Genomic DNA, 16,687 nt, shown 5'->3' on the forward strand with positions numbered 1-16,687 from the left:
AAATTCTTTTCTTTAAGAATGCTGAATATTGGCCCCCACTCTCTCCTGGCTGTAGGGTTTCTGCTGAGAGATCTGCTGTTAGTCTGATGGGCTTCCCTTTGTGGGTAACTCGACCTTTCTCTCTGGCTGCCCTTAACACTTTTTCCTTCATTTCAACCTTGGCGAATCTGACAATTATGTGTCTTGGGGTTGTTCTTCTGGAGGAGTATCTTTGTGGTGTTCTCTGTATTTCCTGAATTTGAATGTTTACCTGCCTTACTATGTTGGGGAAGTTCTCCTGGATAATATCCTGAATGTTTTCCAACTTGGGTCCCTTCTCCCCATCACTTTCAGGTACACCAATCAAACATAGACTTGGTCTTTTCACATAGTCCCATATTTCTTGGAGGCTTTGTTCGTTTCTTTTTACTCTTTTTTCTCTAAACTTCTCTTCTTGCTTCATTTCATTCATTTGATCTTCAATCACTGATACCCTTTCTTCCACTTGATCGAATCGGCTATTGAAGCTTGTGCATGTGTCACAAAGTTCTTGTGCCATGGTTTTCAGCTCCATCAAGTCATTTAAGGTCTTCTCTACACCCTTTTTCTAGTTAGCCATTCATCTAATTGTTTTTCAAGGTTTTTAGCTCCCTTGTGATGGGTTCAAACCTCCTCCTTCAGCTTGGAGAAGTTTGTTACTACTGACTTGCTGAAGCCTACTTCTGTCAACTCGTCAAAGTCATTCTTTATCCAGCTTTGTTCCATTGCTGGTGAGGAGCTGCAGTCCTTTGGAGGAGAACAGGCACTCTGGTTTTTAGAATTTTCAGCTTTTCTGCTCCAGTTTCTCCCCATCTTTGTGGTTTTATCTACCGTTGGTCTTTGATGTTGGTGACCTACAGATGGGGTTTTGGTATAGATGTCCTTTTTGTTGATGTTGATGCTGTTTCTTTCTGTTGGTTAGTTTTCCTTCTAACAGTCAGGTCCCTCAGCTGCAGGTCTGTTGGAGTTTGCTGGAGTTCCACTCCAGACCCTGCATGCCTGGGTATCACCAGTGGAGGCTGCAGAACAGCAAATATTGCTGCCTGATCCTTCCTCTGGAAGCTTCATCCCAGAGGGACAGCCACCTATATGAGGTGTCTGTTGGCCCCTACTGGGAGGTGTCTCCCAGTTAGGCTACACAGGGGTCAGGGACCCACTTGAGGAGGCAGTCTGTCTGTTCTCAGAGCTAAAACACTGTGCTGGTGAGAGAGAACCACTGCTCTCTTCTGAGCTGTCAGACAGGGATATTTAAGTCTGCAGAAGTTGTCTGCTGCCTTTTGTTCAGCTATGCCCTGCCCACAGAGGTGGAGTCTAGAGCCAGTAGGCCTGATTGAGCTGTGGTGGACCCCACTCAGTTCAAGCTTCCTGGCCACTTTGTTTACCTACTGGCCTCAGCAATGGCAGACGCCCCTCCCCCAGCCAGGCTGCTGCCTCACAGTTTGATCTCAGATTGCTGGGCTAGCAGTGAGCAAGGCTCCATGGGTGGCAGCCACCGAGCCAGGCAAGGAAGAGAATCACCTTGTCTGCTGGTTCCTAAGACCTTGGGAAAAGTCCACAGTCTTTGGGTGGGAGTGTCCCATTTTTCCAAGTAGTGTGTCACAGCGTCTCTTGGCTAGGAAAGGGAAATCCCTGACCCCTTGTGCTTCCCAGGTGAGGCGATGCCTGCCCTGCTTCAGCTTGTCCTCCATGGGCTGCACCCACTGTCCAACCAGTCCCAATGAGATGAACCAGGTACCTCAGTTGGAAACGTAGAAATCACCCATCTTCTGTGTCGATCACGCTGGGAGTTGCAGACTGAAGCTGTTCCTATTCGGCCATCTTGGAAAGTCTCATAATACTTTCATTTTTAAAAAACATACAGGGTATTAAAAATTTCAATATGATTTTAGGTCAGTTTTAGTAAGTTTGTTCTTTTAGAAATTTGTTTCCTTTAATCTAAGGTGTTAATTTTTTGCCATAATACACTTCATACTATTTCAGTGTTAGCCTTTTAATATTTGTAGGATCTATCCTTTCTTTCATTTGTAGTAGTAACAGCTTTTGTTTTCCTTTCTTCTTGATCATCCTAACCAGGAGTTTACTGATTCCATTAAATGTTTCAAAAACCAACGTTTGGATTTGTTATTTTTGTATACTCTTTGTTTTCTAGTTTCTTGATTTCTGCTTTATATTTATGATTTCTCTCCGTTCACAGATTTTGGGTTTAATTTGCTCTTCTTTTTTTAACTTCTTAAAATAGAAACTTAAAATAATTGATTTTAAATCTTTCTTCTTTCCTAATATAAGCAATAGACACTAAAAATTTCCCTCTAGGCACTGCAGTGCTGCATCCCATAAAATTTGATATGTTTTAATTTCATTCAGTTCAAAAATATTTTCTAATTTCCCTGTGATTTCTTTTTTTTATTTAATAAAGTTTTGTTTTTCCAAATGTACAGTCAGTTGGACCTGTTCATGCATCTTCACCAGCAGTTGTGGCATCTCCACTTTTGGTATTTCTGGTGTAAATGACTCGAGCTCTGTGTTTTGAAACCAGTTTGATAAGTCCTTTGCCAAGGAGCTCCTGTAGGGCTGCCCTGGCCAGGGAGCCTCGAATCTCCAATCTCTGAGAGACCACAGCTGGGGTTATAAACCTATAGCTGGAAACTTCCTTACAGAGTTTGTCATACAAAGCTTCCTTACAGTAGCATTGTCAAACAAGACTTGGTTATTGAGCTTATCCCAAATTTTGCCTTTGGACCACTCCTTTTTGGCTTTGCCCCTGGATTTGTTCACTGGGTTTTTGTCTTTTTTGGCCAACTTCCCGGGGTCTTTCCTCTTGTTGTCCTCGGATGGCATTGTGAAGCTTGCAGAGCAGCGGCAATCGCTGCAGCCTTGCTGAGATGTCAGACGAAAAGTGATTTCTTTGATGCACAGGTTATTTGAAAATGTGTTGTTTAATTTTCAAATATTTGGGGGGCTGTAATAGATATCTTTTTGTTATTGATTTCTAATTTAATTTCAGCGTGGTTAGAAAACAATGTATATTCTGTGGTTGTTGAGTTTAGTGTTCTATTTTATTTATTTATTTGTTCTAGTTTTTTTAGAGACAGTCTTGCTCTGTCACTCAGGCTGGAGTGCAGTGGTGTGCTCAGCCTCCCAAATAGATGGGACTACAGGTATGTTCCACTATGCCCAGCTAATTTTTTAATAGAGATGGGGTCTTGATATGTTGCCCATGCTGGTCTCCAGCTCCTGGCCTTAAGTGATCCTCCTACCTTGGCCTCTGAAAACTCTGGGATTATAGGCATGAGCCACCACATCTGGCCTAGTGTTCTATAAATGTCAATTAGGTTAAGGTGATTGATAGCATTGTTGAGATATTCTACATCATTTTTGATTTTTAATAATCTAGTTGTTTTGTCAATTACTGAGAGAGGGGTGTTAACATCTCTAACTATGATTGTGGATTTGTTTATTTCTCCCTTTAGCTCTTTCAGTTTTTGCTTTATGCATTTTGAAGCTGTTATTAAACACACATTTATAATTGCTATGCCTTTTGATGAAATGACCCTTTTATCATTACGAAATATTGTTCTTTATTTTTGGTAATCTTTCTTATCCTGAAGTCTATTTTGACTGATATTAATCTAGCCATTCCATATTTCCTATGATTAGTGCTTGCATGATATTTCTTTTAAAATTTTTAAGTTTTAAACCTATATGTGTCTTTGTATTTAATGTATCTCTTGTAGATAACATATAGTTGGATCATAACTTTTATCTACTATAAACAATCTATTTCTTTTTCTTATAGCATTTAGTCAATCTACATTTAAGATAATTATTGATATGGTTGGATTTAGTTCTCTCACTTTTATTTGTTTTCTATTTTTCTGATATGACTTGTTTCTTGGTTCCACTTTTCTTGCCTTTTTTGGGAATTAATATGGTTTAGTATTTCATTTTAATTTTTAGCTATAGCTCTTTGCATATTTTTAGTGGTTACTTTTGGGGTTAAAATAATTTTTTTTAATATTTTAAGTTCTAGGGTACATGTGCAGAACGTGCAGGTTTGTTACATAGGTATACACATGCCATGTTGGTTTGCTGCACCCATCAACCTGTCATCTACATTAGGTATTTCTCCTAATGCTATCCCTCCCTGAGCCCCCCACTCCCTGGCAGGCCCCGGTATGTGATCCCCTTCCCCCTGTGTCCATGTGTTCTCATTGTTCAACTCCCACTTATGAGTGAGAACATGCGGTGTTTGGTTTTCTGTTCCTGTGTTAGTTTGCTGAGAATGATGGTTTCCAGCTCCATCCATGTCCCTGCAAAGGACATCCTTTTTTATGGCTGCATAGTATTCCATGGTGTATATGTGCCACATTTTCTTTATCCAGTTTATCATTGATGGGGATTTGGGTTGGTTCCAAGTCTTTATGTTCTATTATGAACAGTGCTGCAATAAACATGTGTGCATGTGTATTTGTAGTAGAATAATTTATAATCCTTTGGATATATACCCGGTAATGGGATTGCTGGGTCAAATGGTATTTCTAGTTCTAGATCCTTGAGGAATCACCACACTGTCTTCCACAATGGTTGAACTAATTTTCACTCCCACCAACAGTGTAAAAGCATTCGTATTTCTCCACATCCTCTCCAGCACCTGTTGCTTCCTGACTTTTTAATGATCGCCATTGTAACTGGCCGTGAGATGGTATCTCATTGTGGTTTTGATTTGCATTTCTCTAATGACCAGTGATGATGAGCTTTTTTCCATATGTTTGTTGGCTGCATAAATGTCTTCTTTTGAGAAGTGTCTGTTCATATCCTTCACCCACTTTTTGATGGGGTTGTTTGTTTTTGTCTTTTAAATTTGTTTAAGTTCTTTATAGATTCTGGATGTTAGCCCTTTGTCAGATGGGTAGATTGCAAAAATTTTCTCCCATTCTGTAGGTTACCTGTTTACTCTGATGACAGTTTCTTTTGCTGTGCAGAAGCTCTTGAGTTTGATTAGATCCCATTTGTCAATTTTGGCTTTTGTTGCCATTGCTTTTGTTGTTTTAGTCATGAAGTCTTTGCCCATGCCTATGTCCTGAATGGTATTGTCTAGGTTTTCTTCTAGGGTTTTTATGGTTTTAGGTCTTATGTTTAAGTCTTTAATCCATCTTGAGTTAATTTTTTTATAAGGTGTAAGGAAGGGGTCCAGTGTCAGCTTTCTGCATATGGCTAGCCAGTTTTCCCAACACCATTTATTAAATAGGGAATCCTTTTTATTGCCCTCTATATTGCTTGGGGAAATGCCCTCTATATTTTTTTTAGTGATTTGTAGATTCTACTGAAAGAAAAATGAAAACTTGTTCACAGGCAGTGTTGAAAGGATAGCTTTCAACTTTTTAAAGGGTTGAAAATTTAAACTACTCTCCATAGTTTCCGGAAAACATCCTCAAGCCTTTACAATTGAGGGTGAGGGCTGTGGCAGCTTTAAAGTTCAAGAGAAGGAAAATACGTTAATTTTCAAAGTTTTCTCCTATTTCAGATCTTTCTGAGGAAAATAATGTGAGGCCAGGTGTGGTGGCTTATACCTGTAATCCTAATACTTTGGGAGGCCCAGGCAGGAGGACCACTTGAGGCCAGGAGTCCAAGACCAGCCTGGGCAATATAAGGAGACCCTGTCTCTACAAAAAAAAAAACACACACAAAAAATACTGGGAGTGGTAGTGTGTGGCTGGAGTCCTAGCTACATGGGAGGCTGAGGTGGGAGGATCACTTGAGCCTGGGAGTTTGAGGTTGCAGTGAGCTATGATTTTGCCACTGCACTCCAGCCTGGGCAACAGAATGAGACCCTGTCTCAAAAAAAAAAAAAAAAAAAAAAAAAAGAAAAGAAAAGAAAAAAGAAAAATAATGGGAAAGAATCCCTTCACATATCCAGTGGCAGATCTGACCTGCCAGAGCCCTGTTCATCTTGACAATGAGTCAGGTGATCTGGGTTCATGGCCACACTGCATGACGTCTGTTCAGAGCAGCACCCAGGGGTTCTCTTCCTTAGCCAGTAGCTTTCTCAGCTTTCTCATGGACCTAGGAACTCCCCAGTGCCTAGATGCAGTGGAGCACATAGATAGCCTTGTGTTGTCTGGAAATGTCTGTGTTTCTGTGTAGTCTCTGCCAGTCCAATCCCAGGATGGAGGGTGGATGTGGGAACCTCTGTTTTTTAATTAGCCTTTAGGGCATAGTCTGCTCTCCACACACTTGTCAGAACAAAGGGATCTTTTTTCTTCAGGGAATAGCATTAAGAAGCAGGAGGTGGAGTAGTATACTTGTCCTGTTTGAAATGGCTTTTATCTGCTGTTGCATCAGTGATCTTTGACAGCTGATCTGCAGTTCTGGCTTAACCATTTACTAGTTGCATAACCTTGGCAAACTCACATCCCAGCATAATGAATCTAGTTTACTCCTTTATGAACTGGAAGTGTTAATATTTTCCCTGACCTACCTCAGAGGCTTAAAGGGTTGCATGGAGATGAAAACCCATTATAAAAATAAATTATTACTATGAAGGGTTAGAGAAGTTTGTCTTAAGAAGAAGGGTAATTTTAAAAAAGAAGTCTTTGTTGCCCCCTGAGTGAGCACAGTTCTTGGGGTAGAAACGGGATATAGGACAATCTGGCACTGAGTCTGCTGAAGGCTGTCCTGCCACTGCTACATCTTGCCCTTCTCTCCTAACCTCACTGCCCCAGGGGTGGAGACAGTCATGACACTGGGCAGGCCAGCCCTCCTCTGTGCTGCTGGCCACCTATGCGGCACAGTCTTGTCAGAGAGCTGACAATCAGCTCCCTGCTGCTTTCTCATCTTTTAAAGTCCAATTAAACATCTCTGGCCACAGCATGATAATTGTCTGGGCTCCACACAGTGGAACGTGACCTGAGGTGGCATTAGGAGACCAGAAAAGAAAGAAAAGCCCTTTTATCTTGGAAAGATCATGTCCCCAGTTCCTTAAAGTGTAGAATCATTGTTCACATTGAGCAATTGCCCAGCTCAATTCCAAACGTCAAGATATCAAAAGGCATGCAGGAGATTTAACCGTGTCCACATGGACTCATGTGCCCAAGAAGCAATCTGGTGGCTTAAGAATTAGCAATGGCATAAGGTATGTGTGAGAAACAGTGAGTCTGAGTGGAAAGTTCCAGCAGGGAGGGATGCTGGAAGGCTAGGTTAGGGCCAGATTGCAGAGGACCTTGATGCCAGGGGTAAAAAGGTGAACTTTGCTTCAGCAGGATAATCAGGAGTCTTACATGGGATTGTAGGGCCTGGTCTCTGGTGGAAGGCAAGAAGATTCTGCTATGGACAGGGTGTCCTGCCTTGTAGATTGCCCTCTTATAACATCTTGCCATTAAATGTTTCCTGAGGTTTATATCCAGCCCTACTAATCATAGTGCATCAGCACATTGTCTGCTTGATGCAGTGGTGGCTCCCCTTAAACATTTAGGAAGTTGCTACATCTGGAAGGATAAAAAACTCAGAAATATGGCCTGGCACGGTAGCTCATGCCTGTAATCCTAGCACTTTGGGAGGCAGAGGTGGGCAGATTGCCTGAGCTCAGGAGTTCGAGACCAGCCTAGGCAACATGGCGAAACCCCGTCTCTACTAAAAATACAAAAAATTAGCTGGGCATGGTGGTGTGCACCTGTAATCCCAGCTACTCGGGAGGCTGAGGCACGAGAATTGCTTAACTCGGAGGCAGAGGTTGCAGTGAGCTGAATTCATGCCACTGCACTCCAGCCTAGGTGACAGAGCGAGACTCTGTCTCAAAAGAAAACAAAACCAAACAAAACAAAAACTGAGAAATATGGACTTTGGTCCTGAACCTGCTATTGATTAATTGGGTATCTGAGGAAGCTCTTTCTCTTGTCAGGGCTTCAGCTTCTACCAGAAAAATCTAGGGAGAGAGGGATGGTGAGACCAAGTGATCTCTTAAGTTTCTCTTCACTTGAATGTTCTTAGGAATAGCTTCAGTTGCTGACATGTCTGCAATTTGTTTATTACGATTTGCCTCCCATGTCCCTAGGATCATTCTGCTGGACCAAGTTTCTGAGGAGCTTTTTATTTTATTTTATTTTATTTTATTTTATTTTATTTTTTAGAAAGGGAAAATGACTTGCTAGCAGTTACAAGATGTGCCCAGTTTCCCTATCTCTTTTGGTCCAGTTTTCTTTCTGCTGTCAGCTGCAGAGCTTAGTACATGATGGGAGGATCACTGTACTTTCTATAGCGCTGGGAGATTAGAGGAAAAAGGGATTAATAAACCATGGAGTGGTTGGGGAAGACTAAATGGTAGATAAAGGCTTGGGCCCTTTGGGTCCTGATGGAGGGGTGAGGATGCAGAGAATTCTCACCAGGCAGAGAGAAGGGAGTCAGGCATTCCAAGTAAACCAGGATGGAGAGGAAGGGTCTGTGTCTGGATGTGTCAGGAGCTGGCCTGGTGAGAGAAGGAAGCACCAGGAAATGAGGCCAGGGCCTTAAAACCAGGCAGAATGGGAGATTAGACTTGATGCTCTAGGACCCTGATACCCAAAGTGTGGCGTGGGAACTAGAAACATCAACATCACCTGGGAGCATGTTAGAAATGCAGAATCTTAGCCGGACGCGGTGGCTCACGCCTGTAATCCCAGCACTTTGGGAGGCCGAGGCAGGTGTATCACTTGAGGTCAGGAGTTCAAGGCCAGACTGGCCAACATGATGAAACCCCACTTCTACTAAAAGTACAAAAATTAGCCAGGTGTGGTGGCACACACCTGTAATCCCAGCTGCTCGGGAGGCTGAGGCAGGAGAATCGCTTGAATCTGGGAGGCGAAGGTTGCAGTGAGCCGAGATCGCACCACTGCATTCCAGCCTGAGGGACAGAGCAAGACCCTGTCTCAAAAATAAAAAATAAAAACAAACAAAAAAGAAATGCTGGGCCGGGTGCGGTGCCTCACGCCTGTAATCCCAGCACTTTGGGAGGCCGAGGTGAGTGGATCACGAGGTCAGGAGATCGAGACCATCCTGGCTAACACGGCGAAACCCTGTCTCTACTAAAAAAAATTACAAAAAATTAGCTGGGCGTGGTGGCGGGCGCCTGTAGTCCCAGCTACTCAGGAGGCTGAGGCAGGAGAATGGCGTGAACCCCGCAGGCAGAGCTTGCAGTGAGCCGAGATCACGCCACTGCACTCCAGCCTGGGTGACAGAGCGAGACTCCGTCTAAAAACAAACAAACAAAAAGAAATGCTGAATCTCAGGCCCAGCTCAGCCCTGCTGAATCCACATCTGCATTTTAACAAGATCCAAAGGTGACTTCATACCCCTTGAAGTCTGAAAAGTGCTATAGTTCAGGACATTTGTTCTCAGTGGTACTGATCACTGGGCCCCACCCCAGGCCCCCTGAATCAGAATTTTCTAGGGATGGGGCTTGGGCACTGGAAGTTTTAAGAAGCTCTAACCTGTAGCCAGGGCTGAGAACTACTGTTCTCATGGTTATAAAGCAAGAATGACAATGTCGGTTCACAGAAGAACATTTAATAAAGATCAGATAGGCAGCAGTATGAAGAGTGTACTCAGGAAACAGAAATTAATAGCAACGAACCAAATGTGCATAGTGAAGAAGACAGCTCCATCATGTTGAGTCCTGAGAGTTGAGAAAATGGCTGTGCTAGAAGTTGCTATGGGGAGCTGGTTTGTAGAGGATAATGAGAAGTGAATTTGGTTTTAGACATTTTCACTGAAATTTGATGGTGGCAACATCTACCAGGAATTAGTTGATGTGGCACTGAGCTTTGGTTAAAGGGCAGGACTGGAAATTTGAACTTGTAATTTATTATCACCAAGGTGGAAGCTGGAGTCATATAAATGGTACAAGACAACCGGATAACAGAATAAAGGCTTTTGTTGTGTATAAATTAGAATCGTAGGCTTGGAAGGAATTTTAGATAACTTTAGGCTAAATGTCTATGCATGAACCAAGTGTACTGGCCTTAGTGATAGAGCAAGGGATGTCTTTTCACCTTGGCCATAGCAATCCTCTGCTTAGAGTCTGTGAAGGACCATGGCCTGGGCCACCTTCAGAGCCCTGTGGGGCTCATTACCAGAGGGCCTGGCCTATGTGAAGTTCCCCTGCCAACACTGTGACTCATCCACACACTTCCACAGTGATATTTTCAAAGTACAATTATGTGTAGCAGAATGTCTTTTCCATGGCTGACAATGTTGCCCATCTGTGAAGTCATTAAGCTCTTGTGCTCTAAAAGCAGGGAGGAGGTAAACAGTGGCAGCAAATTGGGAACCTGCTTGAATGATGGGAGCCTGGGATTCACACTCTATGCCGGGGCTCTGGATCCCTGATAACCTTCTTTTTAAGGGAGTATGGGAGTTGAGCATTAATGCATGGTTCATCCCTGCAGTTGGGTGCAAACCAGATTGAAAATACACACTGGGGCCAGGTGCAGTGGCTTATGCCTGTAATCCCAGCACTTTGAGAGGACAAGGTGGGAGGATCGCTTGAGACCAGGAGTTCAAGACAAGTCTGTGAAACATAGTGAGACCCTGTCTCTACAAAAATAAAAATTAAAAAATTAGCTGAGTGTGGTGGCATGCTCCTATTGTCCTACCTACGCAGGAGGCTGAGGCAGGAGGATTGCTTGAGCCCAGGAGGTTGAGGCTGAAGTGAGCCAGGATCATGCCTTTGCACAATAGCCTAGGTGATAGAGTGAGACACTGTCTCTAAAAAAAAAAATTAAATTAAAAATGAAAATGCACACAGATGAAAGAAGTAGGCTTGGAATTGGAAAACCAGGATTCAAATCTTAGTTCTGCCATGTATTGGCAGTAGCCAAGCCCAGGTTTCCTCCTTAGTAAATGAAGAATTTTGTCTTTTTCACAGGGCTGTAGTGAGCAAATGAATATTGTATGTGAGAGTGCTTTGCAAACTATAAGGTACAATACAAATATAATACTTTTTAAAGAAAGGATGTATAGACAGGTGAGGAAGAAGAGAACCAAATACAATTGGAAGATCTATTGATCTATTTCCATGTTAATTTGGTGGTGGGGGTATGGTTAGGAGGGTGGGGATTGGGGGTGAGGGTTTTTATCTTTCCTAGTGTACCAAAAGGCAGGAATCTGCCCATTTACTTCTATCTCTGTTAAGGTCTACTCATTCTTCCTCCTTCAGCCTCCACAGTCAATCCTTAAGGTTTTTATGCACCTATATTGTACACCTGGTTATGTGTGCACACCTGGCCCTTGGCAAAATTATGCAGAAAGCAAAGTTGCATATAGTGACCCTAGATATTCCCTTTGGAGTAGTCTTCTGAAAGCAGGTGTAGACATTCCACTTCCTGAGAACAAGGTGCTCATATCCTCTTTCTTCCATCTCTTACCTGAGAAGTAAAGGGCTTGTTATGATATTCCAGGGATATTTGCATTTCAGATGGAGGACTGGAGCTTTAAGCTATGACGTTGGAATTTCTGGCATCAGTGAACTGGGTGGAAAAGTGTAGAATTTGATCTTTCTGGCATCCTTGAAACCATAATACACAGTCTTCCATCAGGTCATTGGGCTAGCTTTGAGGCGGAATATTTTCCAGCCCTCAAAGCTGTCATAAATTGTATTATTTACGTGATAAGTCCTATGAGATTCTGTGAAACAGATCCAGTTGCATTACTTTGCAGGGATTTTATGAGAATCAAGAAAAGAACAGAAGAGAATAAGCTATTGTGCTTTTCACATAAGTACTATTGAAACACAAGGGCATTAACATTCCTTATGCTGCCAGAATCTATTCAGAATCACAGAAAGCTACAACCAGAAGAAATCTTACAAAAAGCAATTCATCTGTACAGTGCAATGTCTTCAAACTTTAGAATGAATCAGAATCACTTGGAGGGTTTGCTGAGACAGATTACTGGGCCCCACCTCTAGAGTTTCTGATTCAGTAGGTCTGAGGTGAGTTGGAGAATCTGGATTTCTATCAAGTTCTCAGATGATGCAGCTGCTGCTGTCGGGGCAACTACACTGAAAACCATGGGTCTTGTGGTTTATTATGGATTTGGAAATAGAGTCTTGCTCTGTTTCCCAGGCTAGAGTGCAGTGGCGTGATCATAGCTCACTGCAGCCTTGACCTCCTGGGCTCAAGCAATCCTCTTGCCTCAGCTTCCTGAGTAGCTGGGACTAGAGGCATGCACCACCATGCCTCCACACCTTGCTCTCTCTCTAGAGAGAGACAGGTGTCTCTCATAGAGACAGAGTCTCACTATATTGCCCAGGCTGGTTTTGAACTCCTAGCCTCAAGTGATCCTCCCACCTTGGCCTCCCCAAGTACTAGGATTGCACGAGTGAACCACCACACCTGGCCATTATTCTAGTTCTAAATTGTACCACTGCAGAGTTCTAGGATGTCAACTAAGTGTGGCCAGGAAGAGAACCTTGATCTTCTGCCTCGTCTTGTTAAATCTTCCTCAGGATGATGACCTTGCCTTTAGCTGTCTCTGGTGAGCTATAATAATTGGGGCACTTTGGAGATTCATGAAGAAGTATTTAGAGGAGGAAGTAAAGGGACTAGAGGGAAGAAACTTCCAAGAAGAAAGGTCTATGGGTGATGAAAGGAACCCAGTTAGGCCCAAGGAGCTGGGAAAGGAAGCCAAGAAGTGGCCTGCTGAAGGGAAGGGAGGCAAGCTATGGGTAGAAAGTTCAGAATCCTGAAAGACCTTTTTATACCACTTAGATATTTAGCTTCCTGGGACAAGATGTCCAATCTTCTATCTTTTGGCTATTCTGTCACATCATTAAAAGTCTAGTCTGTTTGTGATGTAGTGTGTTTGCAAAAACTCTCCCATACACCCTGGCATTCTTTGTTAATTGCCATTAAAGTCATGTCAGGTTTTGAAAAATTATGGTGTTCTTGACACTGTTCCCTTTCAGCCTCACGTGTTCCTTGTATTTATCACAATGGAACACTAACAAATATTTATTCAGTTTTATAGACATGTTGACAATAAAGTCTACCATGTGTGTCTCCCTGCCATGGTGATTATTTTGCTCAATATGTGATTGACTGAGATTTTTCAGTGTATTATAAACACACATTAAAAATAGGAACATAAAAAAGATAAAACAGAAAAATGGAAAGTTCCATATTTCTGGATGCAATACCATGCCAACCTGGTTATTAGGACACGAAACAGATAATTTTTAGTGAGTTATCTAAGTTTGTATAATGATTCTTCTTCAAATAAGTAGTTTTGGATCCCATAACCTTCCTCTTCAAAAATTTCTCGAATTAGAACCTTTTAAAAAGTACTTTTTCCTCTGTGTGTTTGTTCCAATAACCTAGGAAATATAAAGTTTGGCTATTTTACCAAACTTTCAAACCCACAGTCCAATTCCAATTTTTAGCATCCATTTTAAACCATAAGCATGAAGCTGCAAGAGGTCACTGCATTTTCATATTGCATTTTTGTCAAACAGAAAGAGAACTACTGAAGTGGCTAAGTCCTCTCTACTGTGTTAATCAAAGGGAATAGAGGGGTGGTGCTTATTTCAAAGGGTCTTATTAGAAAACTGGGATTACAAAAGGTCAATATTTTTAATGATTTCCTATTTAATGATCCTCCAAAGTCCTGTTTAACAAGCTTATGTCAGTATTAAGGATTTGTGACTTAGTGTTTTTTTTTTTTTAAGTAGTAAGAAAGGTAAACAGGTCCACATACATGGTAGGTGCCAAGTCGGAGAGACACTGGTGCCATTTAAACTTCAGTTTTGTTTTGTGAATTAAATATTTAAACAACTGCTCTGAAGAAACAAAAATGTAACTGTAATGTTTGAACTATAAAATTTCTGACGTTTATTGACTTTCTGGATCTCCCTAACAACTTCCTGTCCTCATAAATTTGCTCCTGTGGTTGATTGGATGCAGATCTGTGTGATTTTTTCATTGCAGTGTGTGACTATACCAGTTTTATTTCCGGTAGCTAGCTTATGCTTTTAACCTGGAGATAGCTGTGTAGTGGTGTTGACTGAAACCAGTGTTGTGTGGGGTGTGTGTATGCCTATAATTACATTCAGCATGAGCCATGGGGCTGCATTTATGTGCATGTGTGTAAATAGCTATTTCACTATGATCTCTGTCCTGCTTTGGGGTTGTCAGCATTGATTACTGAATCTTAAATACTAAATAACAGAAATTAAAATTAAGCAAAATTCAAAGACTATTAAAAAAAACCACTGTGTTCAGTTGCTTTGGGACTGTATTTGAACGACAGAATGCACTTAAGAAAAAGGAGAGCCATTACAGTGGATTGTATTAGGTCGGTGCAAAAGTAATTGCACCGACCTAATATTTTAATTGAGGTGGTGAGTTAAGTTCTAAAGTCAGGACATAAAGGTAAAAACTAAGACCAATCAAAGGAAGGACAGACTCCTGCCAGCACCACTTAAGTGGCTCCCTCCGTCCCTCTGTAACTGAGTATATTTAAATTCACATGAGTTATATGATTTAACTTGATGGTATGTGTCAGAAGCTCTGAAACAGTATTTTAAATGTTTGCAATACATAAACAAGATGGGTGATATTATCCCTGTTTTAAAGGTGAGGAAACTGAGGCCCTAAGAGGGTAAGTGACATCCCCCAAACAACATAGCTAGTAGCTGGCAGAGCCAGGATTTGGGCCCAGTTCTATGTGTCTCCAAAGTCTAGGCTCTCCAGTACGCCATCCTAGAATGTGAAGAACTCTTAGGGATCATGTTATATAACCAGTTTATTTCACAGATGGGAAACTTCAGACTTATTCCCTCCTTTCAGTCAGCATGGATAATGGGGTGTTGACTGCATATTCTAGACTCTGCCAGGATTTCCCAACTCTGGAAGTGGAGAGTACTTGGTGCATCAGAGAGTGATGGATAAGATTTAAGAATTGGGTCAAAGGGGATGGGAATGAACCAGTTAAAGGAATTGGAATTACTTTGTCTGATGTGAAATGTAAATCCTATTCTTCGAGTGAACAGTCACTTGATGAAGGATAAAGACCAGCTGGACTCCATGCAATGAGGCCAAAGCAAGAAGAAAGGACTTTAAATTTTGCTGGGTGAGGCCTAAGTCAGTTGTAATGGAGAAGTCCTGATGGTGGTGGGGTATGGCGGTGGATGGGGAGAGTAGCGAGTTAGCACCATGGGGTAGGGGACCTCACTAGACAGTAAGCTGCCCTCTGCTGGCTTCCTGTTTTCCCTGCCCAATCTCAGAGTAGCGCCGCCCCTCACAGTAACTAAAGAAATTCATCAACAAATCTTGTATTGATTAAGACAAAAAGTGACATCTTCTTAATGGATCCATCAGACCTTTCTGTGCTCTACAAATCTTTTCATCCTCTGATCTACCTTGCCCACTAAGGTTAGAGCTATTTTCATGAAGTACGACTGATTCCATTCCTCTGCTCAAAAATGAACCAAAGCAGCCTGAGCAGCTGTTTTCAAAGTGTGGTCTATGGACCCCCAGAGGTAAGGTGGCCAATTGTGGCAAATAAAAATACAGAAAGCCCAAGGAAATTTCAGTTTCAAATAAACAGCTTTTTTTTTTTTTTTTTTTTTTTTTTTTTTTTTTTTTTAGTGTAAGTATGCCCCATGCAATATTTGGACATCCTGTATTTTATCTGGTAACCCTACCTGGGGGACCAAAAGGCCCTCTCTTTGAGGTCAAGACTATTTTCACGGTAACATTAAGACTTATTTGTCTTCCCTAATGTGTTGACATTGCACTGATGGTACAAAATCAACAGTGTTTAAAACTGCTGGTGTCTTAGCATGAATCAGGGCAGTGACACCAAAGTGTACTGGTGGATGCTGCCTTATTCTGTCATGCACTCACTGTAAAAAAAAAAAAAAAGCCAGTTTTACTTAATAATCTCCTTGATGAAGCAGTAAAAATAATTAACTTTATTAAATCTTAATCCTTGGGTAGATGTCTTTTTAATATTCTGAGTAACAAATTAGGACAAATGCATAAAACATTTCTGCTGTATATGATTTCCTCACTTGTGTGATGGTTTGAGGTAGGAAGCTGAATGGCTTTTTCATGGAACACCATTTTTACTGAAAAACTATGTTTATTCAGACCTAAGTATTTGGCAGTTATTTTCTTGAAAATGAATGAAGTAAGCCTGTTACTTTAAAGAAAATCTTGACAGTATTTGTGCCAATTACAAAATTTCAGCTTTCAAGTGAAAATTAGAATTTTGAAAAACTTCTGTCTACCACAGGGAGCTTGACAGTTTCCCAATACTTAAAGACTTTCTGATGAGATTGGTGGTGATAACAATGAATGTGGCTTTTTGATATTGTATAATGAAACGTGTCAACATTTGGAAAACCTGTGTAACTCAGTGAACCAGGATTTTCCAAATGACCAATGCATAATGTTACCAAATCATGCATGGGTAAAAGATCCATTCAAACTGTGAAATAGACTGATAGAATTTAATGTAACATTGTAGAAAGTTTCACTGACATGGTTTGAAATAACACATTTCAACTAACTTTTAAAAGTCAAGTTTTGGTGTCATGGCAAAGAATAATATCCACGATTATCTGAAAAGGCGATTAAAACAGTCCTCCTATTTCCAGCTATATACCTGTGTGAGGCTGAATACTCTTCACATACTT

The 16,687-nt window shown here is 41.5% G+C and overlaps 1 pseudogene, besides 2 other annotated features; it reads right to left on the reverse strand.

The window, feature by feature from the left end:
• Positions 984 to 1,487: an enhancer, noted in NCBI's record as "H3K27ac-H3K4me1 hESC enhancer chr3:53507244-53507747 (GRCh37/hg19 assembly coordinates)". NCBI's record gives its function as "activates a minimal SCP1, AML or CMV promoter by ChIP-STARR-seq in naive H9 embryonic stem cells {active_cell/tissue: H9 hESC(naive)}" and the evidence as "EXISTENCE:reporter gene assay evidence [ECO:0000049][PMID:30033119]".
• Positions 2,425 to 2,915, reverse strand: RPS25P4 (ribosomal protein S25 pseudogene 4; annotated as a pseudogene).
• Positions 6,589 to 6,883: a silencer, noted in NCBI's record as "tiled region #2578; K562 Repressive non-DNase unmatched - State 24:Quies". NCBI's record gives its function as "represses a minimal TATA promoter and a strong SV40 promoter by Sharpr-MPRA in K562 cells {active_cell/tissue: K562}" and the evidence as "EXISTENCE:reporter gene assay evidence [ECO:0000049][PMID:27701403]".

This window comes from Homo sapiens, chromosome 3, assembly GCF_000001405.40.
Source record: "Homo sapiens chromosome 3, GRCh38.p14 Primary Assembly".
NCBI classification, from domain to species: domain Eukaryota; kingdom Metazoa; phylum Chordata; class Mammalia; order Primates; family Hominidae; genus Homo; species Homo sapiens.